The sequence below is a fragment of the Homo sapiens genome, chromosome 3, assembly GCF_000001405.40.
Source record: "Homo sapiens chromosome 3, GRCh38.p14 Primary Assembly".
NCBI lineage: Eukaryota > Metazoa > Chordata > Mammalia > Primates > Hominidae > Homo > Homo sapiens.
In genome coordinates this window covers 50,010,001-50,028,915 of record NC_000003.12, presented here as the reverse complement: position 1 = coordinate 50,028,915, position 18,915 = coordinate 50,010,001, and the positions used below count along the sequence as shown (strand labels likewise).

Sequence of the window (18,915 nt, the reverse complement as noted above, 5' to 3'; positions counted from 1 at the left end):
AATAAGGAGGTCACTTGGGTTGGGGGGGTCAAGACCACATTTTACAGAAATTAAAAAGATCACTAGGGCTTATGAAGAATAAAACAGAGCCAAAACCACTTTATGCAATATGTGTTAACCCAATTCACAAATATGTATTTATTTAGCTCATCATATGTTGCCAGGTCCAGTTCTAACCTTTTTAAGCAGTAAAGAAAAGAAATAGTCCCTGCTTTCATGGACCTTTCAATCTAATGAGGACATCTGTTGACCACCTATTTGCTAGTCATTACCCAGGCATTTTTTCTGGTTTAGCTAGTTATTCCTTTATATCATATCTCTCATGACTCTAAGATTACCCTGAACTACCCAAGCATGTCTAACAATGGAATGCCTCCTTTATTCCAAGTACACAGGAAGAGCCACAAGAAGTATTTTACTAGGAAAAGTGCCTAAACTAACGTTCTCTGGCCTTAAAGGGTGCCAGTTGAGCCAGGAAACCTGACAGAAACAAATGCAAACATGTCTCTGGGCTGATGCTCTGTTTGTAGAAAACCCAACATATCCTGCATTGCTCTGCATTCACAGTACGCAGGAATCAAGTCAAAGAAAAAAGATGACCACTACCCTATACTTCTTAACTCAGGAACTAGACCATATGAGCACTAACAGACACACAGGCAGAAACAATAAATATGCTATTCAATGGTTGACTCTGAACAGGAGAATCTGTAAGGAATGGAAGGAAGAAGACTGCTATTCAACTGTCAACTGCAAACCAAGCCCTTGATATGCTCAAAACCCAAATATTTAAGACTGACACATGTCCACAGTACCAAGTGCCTCAAAACATCTAGTTAAAAAAAAAAAAACAAGTACAAAACCCCAAACCAAACACAGCCCAAGAGAGAATTCAAATGGGTAATGCAAATATCCAAAGGCTTCCAAACCAGAATTGAAACCTGGTTATCTAATGTATGAGTATGCCATGTTTTCAACACTACACCACTCCAACATGGGGCTTACTAGGCTACGCATCTGGGGATAGCTGGTAAAAAGCTGGAAGTTTTAGCATTGTGGCTCTTTGGTATATATCGAAGAGAACTGAAAATGTGTCCACACAAAACCTTGTACATGAATGTGAATAGTATTATTCATAATAAACAAAAGTGGAAACAACCTAAATGTCTACCAATTAATGAGCAGATAAAGACAATGTGGTATATCCATATGATGGAATATTATTCAACCCTATAAATGATTTAAGTACTGATTCATATAACATGGATGAACCTTAAAAACATTAGGCTAAGTAAAAGAAGCCAGTCACAAAAGACCATATGGTATATGATTCCATTTATATGAAATATCCAGAGCAGGCAAATCTATAGAGACAGAAAGCCGACTAGCAGATGACTGGGGGTAGAGAAGGAAGTAGGAGAAAATGGAGAGTGACTCTTAATGGATATATAGTTTCTTTTTGTTCCCAGAAATGTTCTGGTATCAGTGGTGATAGTTGCACAATTTTATGAATATACTAAAAACTACTAAATTGTACACTTGAAAGAGGTAAGTTTTATGTTATGTGGATTATACCTCAATTACAACAAATATAACACAACAAAAAAAGCTTTCAGGGCTGCAAGACTACTGACAAAGCAAAGACATCTGGTTATTTCATTCTTCCCTTTTTGCCCTATTCTGGCCCAGATGAGCACCACTTAAACCTACCCCTCCTACCCCAAGCCTCTAAGTGAACACTCTGCCTCCAGCTTTTTCTCCTCCTAACCATGCACACCACTGCAAAACTCATCCTCCTTATCACATCCCAATTCTTACCCAAAGCTCTAGCTCCCACTTACCATATTATAATGGAAAATTGGAGGACTCCAGAAGGGTACATCAATTTTCTCAACAGGAAGATGGCCAAAAAGCTATCTGACGACCCAGGAACAAATAAACTTTTAGGGATGCGAATGAAATCATCAAATCATCAAATGCCTACCTATGCTATTTTTTTTTTTTTTTTTTTTTTGGTGAGACAAGGTCTCACTCTGTCACCCAGGCTGGAGTGCAGTGGTGCGATCTCTGCTCACTGCCTCCCAGGTACAATCTCCCACCTCGGCTTCCCCAATAGCTGGGACTACAGGTGCACGCCACCACACCTGCCTAATTTTTGTATTTTTTGGTAGATATGGGGATTCACCATGTTAGTCAGGCTGGTCTCAAACTTTTGACCTCAGGTGATCTGCCTGCCTCGGCCTCCCAAAGTCCTATATTTTTTTTTCTTTTTTTTTTTTTTGAGAGACAGAGTCTTGGCCAGGCGTGGTGGTTCACGCCTGCCTAGTCCCAGCACTTTGGGACTCTGGCTTTACTAAAAATACAAAAAATTAGCCAGACGTGGTGGTGCATGCCTGTAGTCCCAGCTATTTGGGAGGCTGAGGCAGGAAAATGGCTTGAACCCATGAAGCAGAGGTTGCAGTGAGCTGAGATCGTGCCACTGCACTCCAGTCTGGCAACTGGGCGAAATTCTGTCTCCAAAAAAAAAAAAAAGGGCCGGGCACAGTGGCTCACGCCTATAATCCTAGCACTTTGGGAGACCAAAGCAGGTTGATCCCTTGAGGTCAGGGGTTTGAGACCAGCCTGGCCAACATGGTGAAACCCTGTCTACTAAAAATACAAAAATTAGCCGGGCATGGTGGTGGGTGCCTGTAATCCCAGCTACTCGGAAGGCTGAGGTAGAAGAATCGCTTGAACCCGGGAGGCGGAGGCTGCAGTGAGCCGAGATCGTGCCACTGCACTCCAGCCTGGAAGACGGCGAGATTCCGTCTCAAAAAAAAAGAAAAAAAAAAAGAGACAAAGTCTCCCTCTGTCATCCAAGCTGGAGTATAGTGGTCTGATATTGGTTCACTGCAACCTCCATCTCCAAGCAGTTCTGCCTCGGCCTCCTGAGTAGCTGGGATTACAGGCGTCTGCCACCACACCCAGCTAATTTTTGTATTTCTAGTAGAGATGGGGTTTCACCATGTTGGTCAAAGTTCTATACTTAATTTATCAATTAGTCTTATATATTTAAATGATAAAATGAAATAATGTGGTCTTAATTACTGCTGTAACCCTGATACCTACACTAGGAGACATATATACAGAGCAGGGGGAATCAATAGCTGTTGAACAACTATATGTAGGCAGCAATCAATGAAAACTTGAACAGTGGGGCACAGTGGCTCACGCCTATATTCCCAACACTTTGGGAGACTGAAGCAGGAGGACGGCTTAAGGCCAGGAGTTCCCAACCAGCCTGGGCAACATAGTGACACCCTGTCTCTTAAAAAAAAAAAAAAAAAAATTAAAGTTGTATATATATAAAAGGTTAAATTTCTAGGTGGCAGACAGAAGATACATAGAAAATCCAACAAGCACATTCACAGGTAGGTATATATTAACAGGAATAAGTGCATCTACCTATTCGCCAAGAGAAATAACAATTCCGTGGTGTTTTGTTTTCTTTTTTGAGATAGAGTCTCGCTCTGTCACCCAGGCTGGAGTGCAGTGGTGTGATCTCAGCTCACTGCAACCTCTACCTCCTGGGTTCAAGTGATTATCCTGCCTCAGCCTCCTGTGTAGCTGGGATTACAGGTGCCCATCACCACACCTGGCTAATTTTTGTATTTTTAGAAAAGACGGGGTTTCGCCATGTTAGCCAGGCTGGTCTTGCTTCTGACCTCAGGTGATCTGCCCACCTCAGTCTCCCAAAGTACTGGGATTACAGGCGTGAGCCACCGCGCCTGGCTGAGAAATAACAACTTTGAAAAAACATCATTTGCCATAGCTCCAAATGGGGGAAAAAAAAAAACCCACAGTCCATCTAGAGTGGAATTTGAATAAATTGTAATACATTCTTAGACTGGAAAACTGTTTTCTTGTTTTTTGTTTTTTGTTTTTTGAGACGGAGTCTTGCTCTGTCGCCCAGGCTGGAGTGCAGTGGCGCAATCTCGGCTCACTGCAAGCTCCATCTCCCAAGTTCACGCCACTCTCCTGTTTCAGCATCTCAAGTAGCTGGGATTACAGGTGTCCTGCCTCAGCCTCCTGAGTAGCTGGGACTACAGGGGCCCGTCACCACGCCCAGCTAATTTTTTGTATTTTTAGTAGAGACGGGGTTTCACCGTGTTAGCCAGGATGGTCTTGATCTCCTGACCTCGTAATCTGCACGCTTCAGCCTCCCAAAGTGCTGGGATAACAGGCGTGAGCCATCGTGCCCGGCCAAAAACTGTTTTTTTCATTCGGGTGGTGGTTAACCAGGTATATCCAACTTTGGAATAATTCACTAAGCAATGAAAATGAACAAATCGCAGTTACACACAAGATGAATTTCAAAAACAATACTAAGTATAAAAGTCAGGCAAAAGAATACATCTTTTGTGATTCTAATTACATAAGGCTCAAAAGAAAGTCAAAAGACTCTGTGGTATTAGAACTCAGTGACTACCTGTGGGAGGGATGAAAAGGACAATGACCAGGAGGGGCAGGAGGGGCTTCTCCATATGAAGCAGTGTTCTGTTTTTTTCATTCAGGTGGTGGTTAACCAGGTATATCCAACTTTGGAGTAATTCACTAAGCAATACACTTACGACATGATATCTTTTCTGTATGTATACGTCAATAAAAGGGAGGGGAAATAATTATTTAGAAGGACTGTTCTTTCCATTTGCACACTTCAAAAGTCTATTTTATTCAAGCTCTTCATGTGCTACATTTACATCATCAATAGAGCCATTTTAGATAACCTAGCAATTTTCTAAGCCACATCATTTTAAAATGTCACAGAAGTTGTTTAAGATAAACTACTTTTTGAATCTGTGGATAATGTCATTATGGGAAGTTTATCTTAAGCCACAAGTACCCTTTGGCATAAAATTACGACAAACGATTCTTTCATTGGTCCTGTAAGTGAATTTGAATACTTGTTTTATTAAAAATATCACACCCGGCTGGGAGCAGTGGCTCACACCTGTAATCCCAGCACTTTGGGAGGCTGAGATGGGTGGATCACCTGAAGTCAGGAGTTCAAGACCAGCCTGGCCAACATGGTGAAACCCCATCTCTACAAAAATACAAAAATTAGCCAGGCATGATGGCGGGTGCCTGTAATCCCAGCTACTCGAGAGGCTGAGGCACGAGAATCACTTGAACTCGGAGGTTGCAGTAAGCTGAGATCACATCATTGCACAGCCTGGGTGACAGAGCAAGAATCTGTCTCCAAAAAAAAAAAAAAAAAAAATCACCAAACATTTTATTTGTGAGCGTATAATGCCAGAGTAATCACAGCAATTATTAAATTCACCTCCTTTTAAAACACGGTATTCTACTAGACCTCTGTAAGCACCCAATACTAGCACGGACTGCGGTCACTACTTAATGCATCTTTTTCAAATACTTTGTGGCTCAAAAGAAGTAACAGAAATTAGTCAGGTGTGGTGGCAGGCACCTGTAATCCCAGCTACTTGGGATGCTGAAACAGGAGAATAGCTTGAACCCAGGAGGCGGAGGTTGCAGTCAGCCGAGATCGCGCCACTGTACTCCAGCCTGGGCAACAAGAGTGAAACTCTGTCTCAAATAAATAAATAAGAAGTAACTGAGAGAAAACTCCACAGGAGCTAAGACTTTATAAAAGCAAGAAGAAGAAACAGAAAAAGAAGAAAGAAGAAGAAGAAAGCAGGAGGAGGAGAAGGAGGAGGAAGAACGTGAAAGATTCTGAGGGATAAATTCTTGGGAAAACTCATCTCGTATTCAGCGAATATACTCATTTTCAACTTTTCAAAAAAATCTTTTTTTTGAGACAGGGTCTCGCTCTGTCACCCAGGCTGGAATGTAGTGGGGCATGCTTATAGCTCACTGCAGCCTCAACCTCTTGGGCTCAAGCTATCCTTCCATCTCAGCCTCCCTAGTAGCTGGGAATACAGGTATGTGCCACTGTACCTGGCTAATTTTTGTACTTTTGGTAGAGATGGGGTTTTGCTACATTGCCCAGGCTGGTCTTGAACTCCTGGGCTCAAGTGATCAGCCCACCTCAGCTTCCCAACGTGCTGGGATTACAGGTGTGAGTCACTGCGCCCAGCCCCCAAACTCCCTTATATCCCACATATATTTACCTTAAGACTAGACAGGCTAAGATATCCTATTTTTCATTTTTGGCTGAATAGATATATTAAGAACCAACAAGTCACAAAAGAAATATGAATAACTAATAATCAAATGTAAAACTATTCTGCCTACTAATAACCTAAGGGAGAAAAACTACATCATTTGTCAGGTGCGGTGGCTCACGCCTGTAATCCCAGCACTTTGGGAGGCCAAAGTAGGCAGATCACCTAAGATCGGGAGTTCGCGACCAGCCTGACCAACATGGAGAAACCCTGTCTCTACTAAAAATACAAAATTAGCCAGGCGTGGTGACATGAGCCTATAATCCCAGCTACTCGGGAAGCTGAGGCAGGAGAATCACTTGAACCCGGGAGGCAGAGGTTTTGGTGAGCTGAGATCGCACCATTGCACTCTAGCCTGGGCAACAAGGGTGAAACTCCATCTCAAAAAAAAAAAAGAAAGAAGAAAAACTAAATCATTATCTTCTTCACTACACTAGCAACATTAAAAAAATTATTAAATATTTCAAACACAACAGGCGATTAGAGAGTAACAACCAACCATGTACTACTACCCAATACAAGTATTTTGTTAAAATACACTTGACACTGGTTGGAAGGCAGGGGAGACAAGTGCTCTCAAACACTGTTAGTAAAATAATAAATTAGGAAATATCTGGATGGAATTTGAATACATTTATTAAGTCATAAAATATGCTGATTTCTTTTTTTTCCTTTTTGAGACAGGGGCTCACTCTGTCACCCAGGCTACAGTGCAGTGGCATGGTCATGGGTCAGTCACTGCAGCCTTGACCTCCCGGGCTCAAGCGATTCTCCTACCTCCCTTCTCTAGAGAAGCTACGATAGGTACAAAAACATGCTTCTAAATAACACACAAGCTAAAGAGGAAATCTCACCCGGCTAGGCAGGAGAATTTCCTGAACCCAGGAGGTAGAGAGGTTGCAGTGAGCCAAGATCGTGCCGCCACACTCCAGCCTGGGCAACAAAGTGAGACTCTGTCTCAAAAAAAAAAAAAAAAAAAAAAAAAAAAAAGCACTTAAATTCCTCAGTATGGAGATGAATATATCAAAATGATTCTTAAAATGTATGTATGTACATAGGTATGTATTTTATTTGTTTATTTATTTATTTAGAGACAAAGTTTTGCTCTGTCACCCAGGCTGGAGTGCACTGGCGCAATCTTGGTTCACCGCAACCTCCGCCTCCTTGGGTTCAACCGATTTTCGTGCCTCAGCCTCTTGAGCAGCTGGGATTACAGGCGTGTGCCACCACACCCAGCTAATTTTTGTATTTTTAGTAGAGACGGGGTTTCAACATGTTGGCTAGGCTGGTCTCAAACTCCTGACCTCAGGTGATCTGCCTGTTTCGGCCTCCCAAAGTGCTAGGATTACAGGTATGAGCCACTGCACCCAGCCTTAAATGTATTTAATGACAAGGAAGTAAGTCCACAATATTTGAAGTTAAAGAGTTATAAAACCATTTGTACAAGACTCTCCTATCCTACAGATAGATACACAGATAGATGATACATGCATAGAAAAATCTGGAAGGATACGCATCAAAATAACAGCAGCAATCTAATCAACATTTGTAGACTATTTCATCCAGCAACAGCGAACTACATATTCTCTTCAAGCTCACGCAGCACATTATGGGCCATAAAACATACCTTTTCCAGTTTAAAATGACAGAAAAAATAATATATGCTCTCAGATCACAATAGAATTAAACTAGAAGTCAGTAACAGTAATATAGTTGTAAAAATCCCAAAGTATATGGAGATTTAAAAACATACTTCTAAATAACACACAAGCTAAAGAAGAAATCTCAAGAGGAATTTAAAAATATTCCGAATTATGGTCAGATGCTGTATAATGACATCTCAGTCAACAATGGGCTTGCATATATGATGGTGGTCCCAAAATACTGAAATACTGTATTTTCACTGTACCGTTTCTATCTTTAGATACTACTGTGTCACAACTGCCTATCATATACAATATGGTAACAAGTTGTACAGGTTTGCAGTTAAGGAGCAATAGGCTAAATGATATAGCCTAGGTGGGTAGCAGGCTATACCATTTAGGTTTGTGTATGTACACTCCATGGTATTTGCACAAAGACAAAATTGCCTAAGAGTGCATTTCTCAGAATTTATCCCCATCATTAACTGTATGGGGATTAACACACAACTGTAAACGATAATGAAAAACACAACTTATCAAAATTTGTGCGATACACAAAAAGCAGTGCTGAGAGGGAAATTTATAGCACTGAATGCATATATTAAAAGAGAAGAAAAATCTAAAAATCAATAATCTGAGCTTCCACTTTAGGAAACCAGTAAAAGAGCAAATTAAATCAAAAGTAAGCAGAAGAAAATAATAAAAATTAGAGCTGAAGTCAATGAAATTGAAAACAGTAAATCAATAGAGATAAATCAGTGAAACCAAAAGTTGGTTCTTTGAAAAGATCAATAAAATTGATAAACATTTAACCAGTCTAAGAAAAAAAGAAAGAAGATACAAATTACTAATAACAAAAATGAGGCTGGGCATAGTGGCTCACACCTGTAATCCAAACAAATTGGGAGGCCAAGGTGAAGACTGCTTGAGCCCGCCCAGGAGTTCCAGACCAGCCTGGACAAAATAGAGAGACTTCATCTTTACAAATAATGTTTTAAAAAACTAGATGGGTATGGTGGTATGTGCCTGTAGTCCTAGCTACTTGGAAAGCTGAGATGGGAAAGTTGCTTGAGCTGAGGAACTTGAGGTTATAGTGAGCTGTGATTGTGCCACTGCACTCTAGCCTGGGCAACAGAGTGAGACCCTGCATCTAAAAAAAAAAAAAAAAATCAATTAATGTAATCCATCACATCGACATGCTGAAGAAGAAATTAACATGAACATACCAATAGATGCAGAAAAATCATTTGACAAAAATCCAATCCCCTTTCATGATTTAAAAAAAAAAACCTCTCAGCAAACTAGGAACAGAGGGGAACCTCCTCAACTTGATAAACCTATAGCTAACATCACACTTATGGTGAGAGACTAGATGCTTTCTTCCCACTAACATCAGGAACAAGACAAGGATGTATTCTCAACAGCTCCTTTTCAGCTAGGTGTGGTGGCTCACACCTGTAATCCCAGCACTTTGGGAGGCTGAGGTGGGAGGATCACCTGGGCCCAAGAGCTGGAGACCAGTTTTGGCAACATAGCGAGACCCTATCTCTATAGGAAGAAAAGAAAGAAAAAGAAGAAAAGGAAAAGGCAAGGAAAGGAGAGAAAAGAAGAGAAAGACAGCTCCTTTCAGCATTGTACTAGAAATCCTAGCTAGTGCAATAAGCCAAGAAAAGGACATAAAAGGTATATGGATTAGAAAGGAAGAAATAAAATTGTCTTTATTCATGAATGACATGACTGTCCAATAGAAATACCCAAAGGAGGCCAGGCATGGTGGCTCATGCCTGTAATCCCAGCAATTCAGGAGGCCAAGGCGGGGCAGATCACCTAAGGTCAGGAGTTCAAGACCATCTTAGCCAACATGGTGAAACTAAAAATACAAAAATTAGCTGGGTGTGGTGGTGCGTGCCTGTAATCCCAGCTATGCAGAACGCTGAGGCAGGAGAATAACTTGAACCTGGGAGGCGGAGGCTGCAGTGAGCTGAGATCGTCCAACTGTACTCCAGCCTGGGTGAAAGAGCAAGACCTTGTCTCAAAAAAAAAAAATAAATAAATAAAAATAAAAATGGCTACCATCCAAATGCTGGCAAGGATACAGAGCAACAGAACTCTAATTCATTGCTGGTAGCAATGCAAATTGTAATCGCTACTTTGGAAAAACTGTTTGACAGTTTCTTACAAAATTAAACATACTCTACAGGCTGGGTGCAGTGGCTTACGCCTGTAATCCCAACACTTTGGGAGGCCGAGGTGGACGAATCACGAGGTCACAAGATCAAGACCATCCTGGCCAACATGTTGAAACCCTGTCTCTACTAAAAATACAAAAAATTAGCTGGGCATGGTCATGCACCTGTAGTCCCAGCTACTTGGGAGGCTGAGGCAGAAGAATCACTTGAACCTGGGAGGCAGAGGTTGCAATGAACCGAGATCGCACCACTGCACTCCAGCTGGTGACAGAGCAAGGCTCCGTGTCAAAAAAAAAAAAAAAAAAAAAAAAAAAAAACACACTCCTACCATACGATCCAGTAATCATGCCCCTTGTATTTACCCAAACTAGTTGAAAACGTATGTCCGTACAAAAACATGCATATGGATATTTATTGCAGCTTTATTCGTAACTGTCAAAACATGGAAGCAACCAAAATGTCATTTAGTAGGTGAATGAATAAACTGTGATATATCCATACAATGGGATATTATTCAGTGCTAAAAAGAAATGAGCTATCAAACCACAAAAAGACATAGAGGAATGAGACTACATAGAGAAATGTACTACTAAATGAAAGAAGCCAATCTGAAAAGGCTACATATTGTCCAATTCCAACTATATAAAATTCTGCAAAAGGCAAAACTACACGGACAATAAAAAGTTCAGTGGTTGCAGGGGTTTGCAAGAGGAAAGAACAAACAGGTGGAGAAAAGAGGGTTTCTAGGGCAATGAAACTATTCTGTATGATACTATAATGGTGGATATATGACATACATTTGTGGAAACCCATAGAAGGTACAACACCCAGAGTGAACCCTTGATAATGATGTATCAATGTTGCTTCACTGATTGTAACATATACACTACACTGCAGGATGCTGATAGTTGGGGAGGCTGTGTATGTAATGTTGGGAGAAGGGTGGCAGGGATAACTATACAGGAACTGTTCATAGCTTCATGTAAGAACAGAAATTGTAAAACTACTAGAAGAAACTATAGTTGGAAAGCTCCACAACACTGGTCTAGGCAATGATTTCTTGTGCATGACCCCCAAAGGCCAGGCAACAAAAGCAAAAACAGACAAATGGAATTGCGTCAAACTAAAAAGCTTCTGCAAAGCAAGGAAACAATTAACAAAGTGAAGAAACAATGCACAGATTGAGAGAAAATACTTACAAATCTTCCATCTGATAAAGGGCTAATATCCAAAATGTACAAAGAACTCAAACTACTCAATAATGAAAACAAATAACCCTATTAAAAAATGGGCAAAGGACCTGAATAGACATTTTTTTTTCTTTTTCTTTTTTTTTTTTTTGAGACAGAGTCTTGCTCTGTCGCCCAGGCTGGAGTGCAGTGGCGCGATCTTGGCTCACTGCACGCTCCACCTCCTGGGTTCACGCCATTCTCCTGCCTCAGCCTCCCACATAGCTGGGACTTCAGGCGCCCACCACCACACCCAGCTAATTTTTTTGTATTTTTAGTAGAAACGGGGTTTCACCATGTTAGCCAGGATGGTCTCGATCTCCTGACCTCGTGATCCACCCGCCTCGGCCTCCCAAAGTGTTGGGATTACAGGCGTGAGCCACTGTGCCCAGCCCAGACATTTCTTGAAAGAAGACATACGTGCATTCCTGGCCTTATGGCTAAAAACAAAATTTTTAAAAGAAGAAAAAAAATTGCCAAAAAATATATGACAAAATGTTCAACATCAATAATTATCAGAGAATTACAAATTAAAACCATAAGGAGCTGGGCATAGTGGTTCATGCTGGTAATCCCAGCACTTTCAGAAACCAAGGTGGGAGGATCACTTGAGCCTAGGAGTTCAAGACCAGCCCGGACAACATAATGAAACCTCATCTCTACTAAAAATACAAAAGTTAACTGGGTGTGGTGGCACATGCCTGTAATCTCAACTACTCAGGAGGCTGAGGCATGAGAATTACTTGAACCCGGGAGGCAGAGATTGCAGTAAGCCGAGGTCATACCACTGCACTCCAGCCTGGGCAACACAGCGAGACTCTGTCTCAAAAAAAAAAAAAAAAAAACGCTAGGCATGGTGACACACCAGCTACCTGGGAGGCTGAGGTGGGAGGACTGCTTGAGTGCAGGAAGTTAAGGCTGCAAATGAGCTGGGATCACGCCACTGAACTCCAGCCTGTGTGATGCAGCAAGACACTGTCTCAAACAAACAAACAAAACCATAATGAGATGTCACCTCATACTTGTTAGCATGGTTACTATAAAAAAGATGAACGGTAACAAGTGTTAGTGAGGATATGGAGAAAAGGGAACCCTTTACACTGTGGGAATGTAAATTAGTACAGATATTTTGGAAACTGTATGGAGGTTCTTAAAAAAAAAAAAACTAAAACGAGAATCACCATATGATCTAGCAGTCCCACTTTTGGGTACAGTATATATCCAATGAAACTGAAATCATTATGTCTGAGAGATACCTGCATTCCCATGTTCACTGCAGTACTATTCACAATAGCCATGATATCCATTCATCCATTGCCCATCAATGAATGAATGGATAATGAAAATGTGGTATGTAAGCACAATGAAATACTATTTGGCCTTAAAAAAGAAGGAAATTCTGCCATTTGCGACATGTGGAAAAACATGAAGGACACTTAGCTAAGTGTATTATAAACTAGGTACAGAAAGACAAATACTGCATGATCTCACATGTGCAATCTAAAAAAATCAAATATTCAGACAGAAGTAGAGAGCAGAATGGTGGTTTACCAGAGGCCGTGGGTGGAGAAGGCGGGTGGAGGAGAACGGGAGAATGTTAGTCAAAGAGTATAAAGTTTCAGTCAGACAGGAGGAAGAAGTTTTAGTTATCTATTGCACAGCATGGTGACTATAGTTAATAACAATGTATTGTATCTATTTCAAAATTGCTAAAAGAGATTTTAAATGTTCTCACTACAAAGAAATAACTACATGAGGTGATGGATATGTTAACTAGTCTGATTCAATCATTCTACAATGTACACATGTATCATAACGTGGGTACTCCATAAACGTATACAATTATCAATTAAAAATTATTCTACAATGTGCACATGTATCATAACATGGGTACTCCATAAACATGTACAATTATCAATTAAAAATAAAATAAAAATTGGCCGGGAGCGGTGGCTCACGCCTGTAATCCCAGCACTTTGGGAGGCTGAGGCAGGTGGATCACGAGGTCAGGAGATGGAGACCATCCTGGCTAACATGGTGAAACCCCGCCTCTACTAAAAAAATTCAAAAAATTAGCCGGGCGTGGTGGCACGCGCCTGTAGTCCCAGCTACTCAGGAGGCTGAGGCAGGAGAATGGCATGAACCCAGGAGGCGGAGCTTGCAGTGATCCGAGATCGCGCCACTGCACTCCAGCCTGGGCAACAGAGCGAGGCTCCATCTCAAAAAAAAAAAAAAAAATAATAATAATAATAAAATAAAAATTTTGCCAGGCACAGTGGCTCATGCTTGTAATCCCAGCACTTTGGGAGGCTGAGGCGGGCAGACCATAAGGTCAGGAGTTTGAGACCAGCCTGGCCAATATGGTGAAACCCCGCCTCTGCTAAAAATACAAAAATTAGCCGGGCGTGGTGGTGGGTACCTGTAGTCCCAGCTACTTGGGAGGCTGAAGCAGGACAACCACTTGAACCTGGCAGGCGGGGGGTTGCAGTGAGCCAAGATGGTGCTACTGCACTCCAGCTTGGGTGACAGAGCGTGACTCTGTCTCAAAAGAAAAAAAAGTAAAAAAGAAATAAAACAAAAAATTTAAAAATAAAAAACTTTTTTTTTTTTTTTTTTTTTTTTTGAGACAGTCTCACTCTGTTGGCCAGGCTGGAGTACAGTGGCGTGATCTCGGCTCACCGCAACCTCCACCTTCTGGGTTCAAGCAATTCTTGTGCCTCAGCCTCCTGAGTAGCTGGGACTGCAGGTGTACGCCACCATGCCTGGCTAATTTTTGTATTGTTTTTTCATTCATTAATGAACACATATTACCTAGCACAGAGCTTCAAACACAAGAGGTGCTCAGCACTTAACTGTGTTAACAAAAGTTAAAATGAGTTGCTTACTGATATTTCCAATGTGATTCCCAACAGCCCAATCACTATTACACAGCATTCTATATACACAGCAGCTCCCCTTCACAGCAAAGTGATATTGTATTAAGATAAAATATATGCATCTTTTACTTTGAGGTCAGTCCCCTTAACTATATCAGCATACAGGATCCAGTAGATGGCCCTGTGAAGTAAAGCCTAATGAAAAGATGATCCAATAGATTCAAATGTTTTAATCAGTATAAAGAAGGATGTGAAAATCTGCACTTGCATTTTCAATATTCCCTGGAAAACTATCTGAAATATGAAGTAACATCTATTTTGAAAACTCTCAACTTGTTTGTTTTTTCTAGTAATTGCTGCCAAATATGTGTAATCTTCTGACTACTCCCTCATTCTGCTGGATGACAGACTACCTTAGTGATAGTATATTTTAAGAATGTTTATTACCTTTGATTATTTAAAGAACTTATTCTGGTCCACATATCAAAATAGGTCTTATTCTACAGCTCCTACCCCAAGGACACAGGCTAAGCTCGTGACTGGTAGTCTGGAGTGCCGTGCCTGCACTCTCACTACACAGCATTCCCACTATATTCCCAAACCCCCTTGCCAATCCTCACTCTGTTGGGACCAGGAATAAGGCAAGGAAAGAGATAACTGATTATTATAAGACAATCCACGGCAAGCCAGGTCATCCTTTCTGACTAACCACAACTCTTGTCTCCTTACACCAGTATTTTTCAACCTCAGCAATAGAGATTTTTGGGCCAGATGATTCTTTGTGTGGAGAGCTGCCCTTTGCACTGTAGGATGTTTAGCAGCATCCCTGGCTCTATTCACTAGATACCAGTAGCACCCTCTCCCAGTGGTGACAACCAAAAATGTCTCCAGACATTGCCAAATGTCCAGTGGTTGGGGAGGAGAAGAGCATGTCAAAAATCACTGCTTGAAGCCCCTGTTTAAGAGCCACTGCCTGACGAATAACATTATTAAGGCCACTCAGGAAAGTTTGCTTCCCCTTTGCCATGGTTGCTGCTGCTTCTCAGTCTAAAGCTGACTAGCACATAGTCCCTCCTCTTTTTGTATCAGGCATCCAAATGCCCGCTGTCTCATGGAAGAACATATTTTTGAGACAGAGCCTCGCTGTCGCCAGGCTGGAGTGCAGTGGTGAAATCTGGGCTCACTGCAACCTCCACCTCCAGGGTTCAAGCGATTATCCTGCTCCAGCCTCCCGAGTAGCTGGGACTACAGACATGTGCCACCATGCCCAGCTAATTTTTGTATTTTTAGTAGAGATGGGGTTTCACCACGAGGCCAGGATGGTCTTGATCTCTTGACCTCGTGATCCGCCTCCCTCGGCCTCTGAAAGTGCTGGGATTACAGGTGTGAGCCACCGCGTTCGGCCTATTCACTGTTTTTTTTAAAAGACCTATAAAAACCTCACAGTGCCCAGGAGTAGAAGCTTTAGATGTTGCCCTACTTCTTGACCTCCAACCCCAGCACCTGACAAAGCCCAGTGGGGGACCTCTTGGAGACACCGACAAAGTAAATCCCAATCGCCTTCCACATACATCATCCACTCAACCCAATGGAAATTCACACACCATCCACAGCATCCATTAAGCACCTCCATCCAACCTCAAAGGAAGAGTCTGGTGGGAGGTCAAGTCAAATGATGTCCCTTTTTCAATGAGAATAGATCATAACTATTCAAAAATCTGCATTCAAATGTGCTAAGAAGAATCTGGGTGGGCCTGGCACGGTGGCTCACGCCTGTAATCCCAGCACTTTAGGAGGCCCAGGTGGTCAGATCACCTGAGGTCGGGAGTTCAATACCAGCCTGACCAACATGGAGGAACCTGGTCTCCACTAAAAAATATAAAATTAGCCAGGCGTGGTGGCGCATGGCTGTAATCCCAATTACTTGGGAGGCTGAGGCAGGAGAATTGCTTGAACCCGGGACGGGGAGGTTGTGGTGAGCCGAGATTGCGCCATTGCACTCCAGCCTGGGAAACAAGAGCAAAACTCCGCCTCAAAAAAAAAAAAAAAAAAAAAGGTAGAATCTAGGTGAAAAGAACACAGGAATTTTTGCAGCTTTTTTATAAGTCTGAAATCACTTTTGTAAAAAATTGGAATGGGCCAGGCACGGTGGCTCACGCCTGTAATCTCAGCACTTTGGGAGGCTGAGACGGGCGGATCACAGGGTCAGGAGATTGAGACCATCCTGGCTAACACGGTGAAACCCCGTCTCTACTACAAATACAAAAACTTAGCCGGGCGTGGTGGCAGGCACCTGTAGTCCCAGCTACTCGGGAGGCTGAGGCAGGAGAATGGCGTGAACCCGGGAGGTGGAGGTTGCAGTGAGCTGAGATCACGCCACTGCACTCCAGCCTGGGCGACAGAGTGAGGCTCTATCTCAAAAAAAAAGAAAAAAAAAATTGGAATGGACTGGGCATGGTGGTTCATGCCTGTAATCCCAGCACTTCGGGAAACCAAGGTGGGAGGATCACTTGAAACCAGGAGTTCAAGACCACCTTGGCAATAGATTGAGACCTCGTCTCTAAAAAAAATAAAAATTAAAAAATTAAAAATGTAAATGTATCCCCAAACGGGGATCCGATTGAGGTAATGAAAATGTTCTAGACCAGGCATGATGGTTCACACCTGTAATCCCAGCACTTTGGGAAGGTGAGGCAGGAAGGATTGCTTGAGTTTAGAAGTTCAAGACCAACCTGGACAATATAGCAAGACCTTCTCTCTACAAAAAATAAAAAATTAGCTGGGCACGATGGTTCCAACTTATAGTTCCAGCTACTCAGGAGGTTGAGGTGGGAGAATTGCTTGAGCCCGGGAGGTGGAGGCTGCAGTGAGCCATGGTCATGCCACTGCACTCAGCTTGGGCAACAGAGCAAGATCCTGTGTCCCAGAAAAAAAGAAAAAGAAAAAAAAAAAAAGAAAGAAAAGAAAAATGTTGTAAAACTAATTATAATAATAAATGTTACAACTTGGTAAATTTACTAAAAAATCATTGAATTGTACAGTTAAAATGAGTGACTTTTATGATATATAATTTATGTCAATAATGTTTTCCCCCTTAAAAAAAGAAAACCTACAACTCTCTGTATACTAAGAGGGTCAAAGATGATAGCCATAGTGTCAATGCTGCTTGAAAGAGGCCTCTAAGAAAGACATATGTGGAGAGCACACATTCTAGCTGCAATCCAGTCTTTTCCCATGGCTTTGAGCTTTGATTAGCAATTTCAGGAAACCAGGAAAGGTCTACATTGACAACTACAAACCATCCGATTACAGGAATCTCCCCTAAAAATTAGTCCAAGGATTTCTTAATGTTATTTTCATTTTCGGTCTACTTCAAAATAGTCCTTTATTTTTAACTGTGAATAACTCAAAGCAGAAAGTCCGTTCAACCTTACTGAGCATAAACTACATAACCAGTTCAAATGGAGCCTGTTACCAACTCCATCCATAATCTTTCAGATGTTTAGCTTAAATGTTCCTCTGTGGTAAGTAGATACCATTAGCAAAAAAATTCTTCATGCCTTTTTTTTTTTAAGAGACAAGGTATTGCTCTGTCATTCAGGCTAGAGTGCAGTGATCTAATCATGGCTCACTCGAATTCCTGGGCTCAAGTGATCCTCCTATCTCAGCCTCCTGAGTAGCTGAAACTACAGGCATCAGCCACTGTGCCCAGCCCTCTTGATGCATTTTAAGACCATTTTACTCTAACTTCCTGACAAACTGATAGACAATCTTTTTGGGGGGTTGGGGTAGGGTGGAGGGTGGTAAATGAATCTGTACTTTATTTTAGATCTGGACTCATTCCCATTGTGCTGGAACCCTAAAAAAACTTTTTTTTTTTTTTTTTTTTTTTTGAGACAGTCTTGCTCTGTCGCCCAGGCTGGAGTGCAGTGGTACAATCTCAGCTCACTGCAACCTCTGCCTCCTGAGTTCAAGCAATTCTCCTGCCTCAGCCTCCCGAGTAGCTGGGACTACAGGAACACACCACCATGCTGGGCTAATTTTCGTATTTTTGGTAGAGACAGGGTTTCATCATGTTGGCCAGGCTAGTCTAGAACTCCTGACCTCAGGTGATCTGCCCGCCTCAGCCTCCCAAAGTGCTGGGATTACAGGTGTGAGCCACCCTGCCTGGCCTTAAAAAAAGTTTCATACTACATTTAAAGACTTTTTTTAAAATTGAGATAAAATTCACATACCATAAAATCCACTGTTTTAAAGTATATACAATTTAATGGCTTTTAGTACATGCACAAGCTTGGTCAACCATCCTCACTATTTAATTCTAAAATATTTTCCTCATCCCAAAAAAGAGACCCTGTATCAATCAGTTATCATTCTCTATCCTCTCCTGCCACCCCCCGACTCCCCGGCCACCCTTGTGCCCAGTAACCACTACTCTACATCCTGTGATACACCACCTTTTCTCCTACATATTTTCCTTTGGAAATAGCATTTGCAAAGATTAAGCACAAATTTCACTTGACCACAGATTTTGGTAATATATACATCATTAATATACAAAATTAACCTCACAAATCTCACCCTGTGAGATTAAAACTAATTATTCTGGCTGGGTGCCATCACTCACGCCTGTAATCCCAGCACTTTGGGAGGCCGAGACGGGTGGATTGCCTGAGGTCAGGAGTTCGAGAGCAGCCTGGCCAACATGGTGAAACCCTGTCTCTACTAAAAATACAAAAATTAGCCAGGTGTGGTGGTGTGCCTGTAATTCCAGCTACATGGGAGGCTGAGGC

General features: G+C 41.9%; 1 protein-coding gene across 16 annotated transcripts in view, besides 1 other annotated feature; it reads right to left on the bottom strand.

The window, feature by feature from the left end:
- The window catches only part of RBM6 (RNA binding motif protein 6), a 137,100-nt gene that overhangs the window by 48,334 nt on the left and 69,851 nt on the right, over positions 1 to 18,915 (bottom strand). The gene's annotated exons all lie outside the window — the stretch shown is intronic.
- Positions 15,423 to 16,091: an enhancer, noted in NCBI's record as "NANOG hESC enhancer chr3:50050258-50050926 (GRCh37/hg19 assembly coordinates)". NCBI's record gives its function as "activates a minimal SCP1, AML or CMV promoter by ChIP-STARR-seq in naive H9 embryonic stem cells {active_cell/tissue: H9 hESC(naive)}" and the evidence as "EXISTENCE:reporter gene assay evidence [ECO:0000049][PMID:30033119]".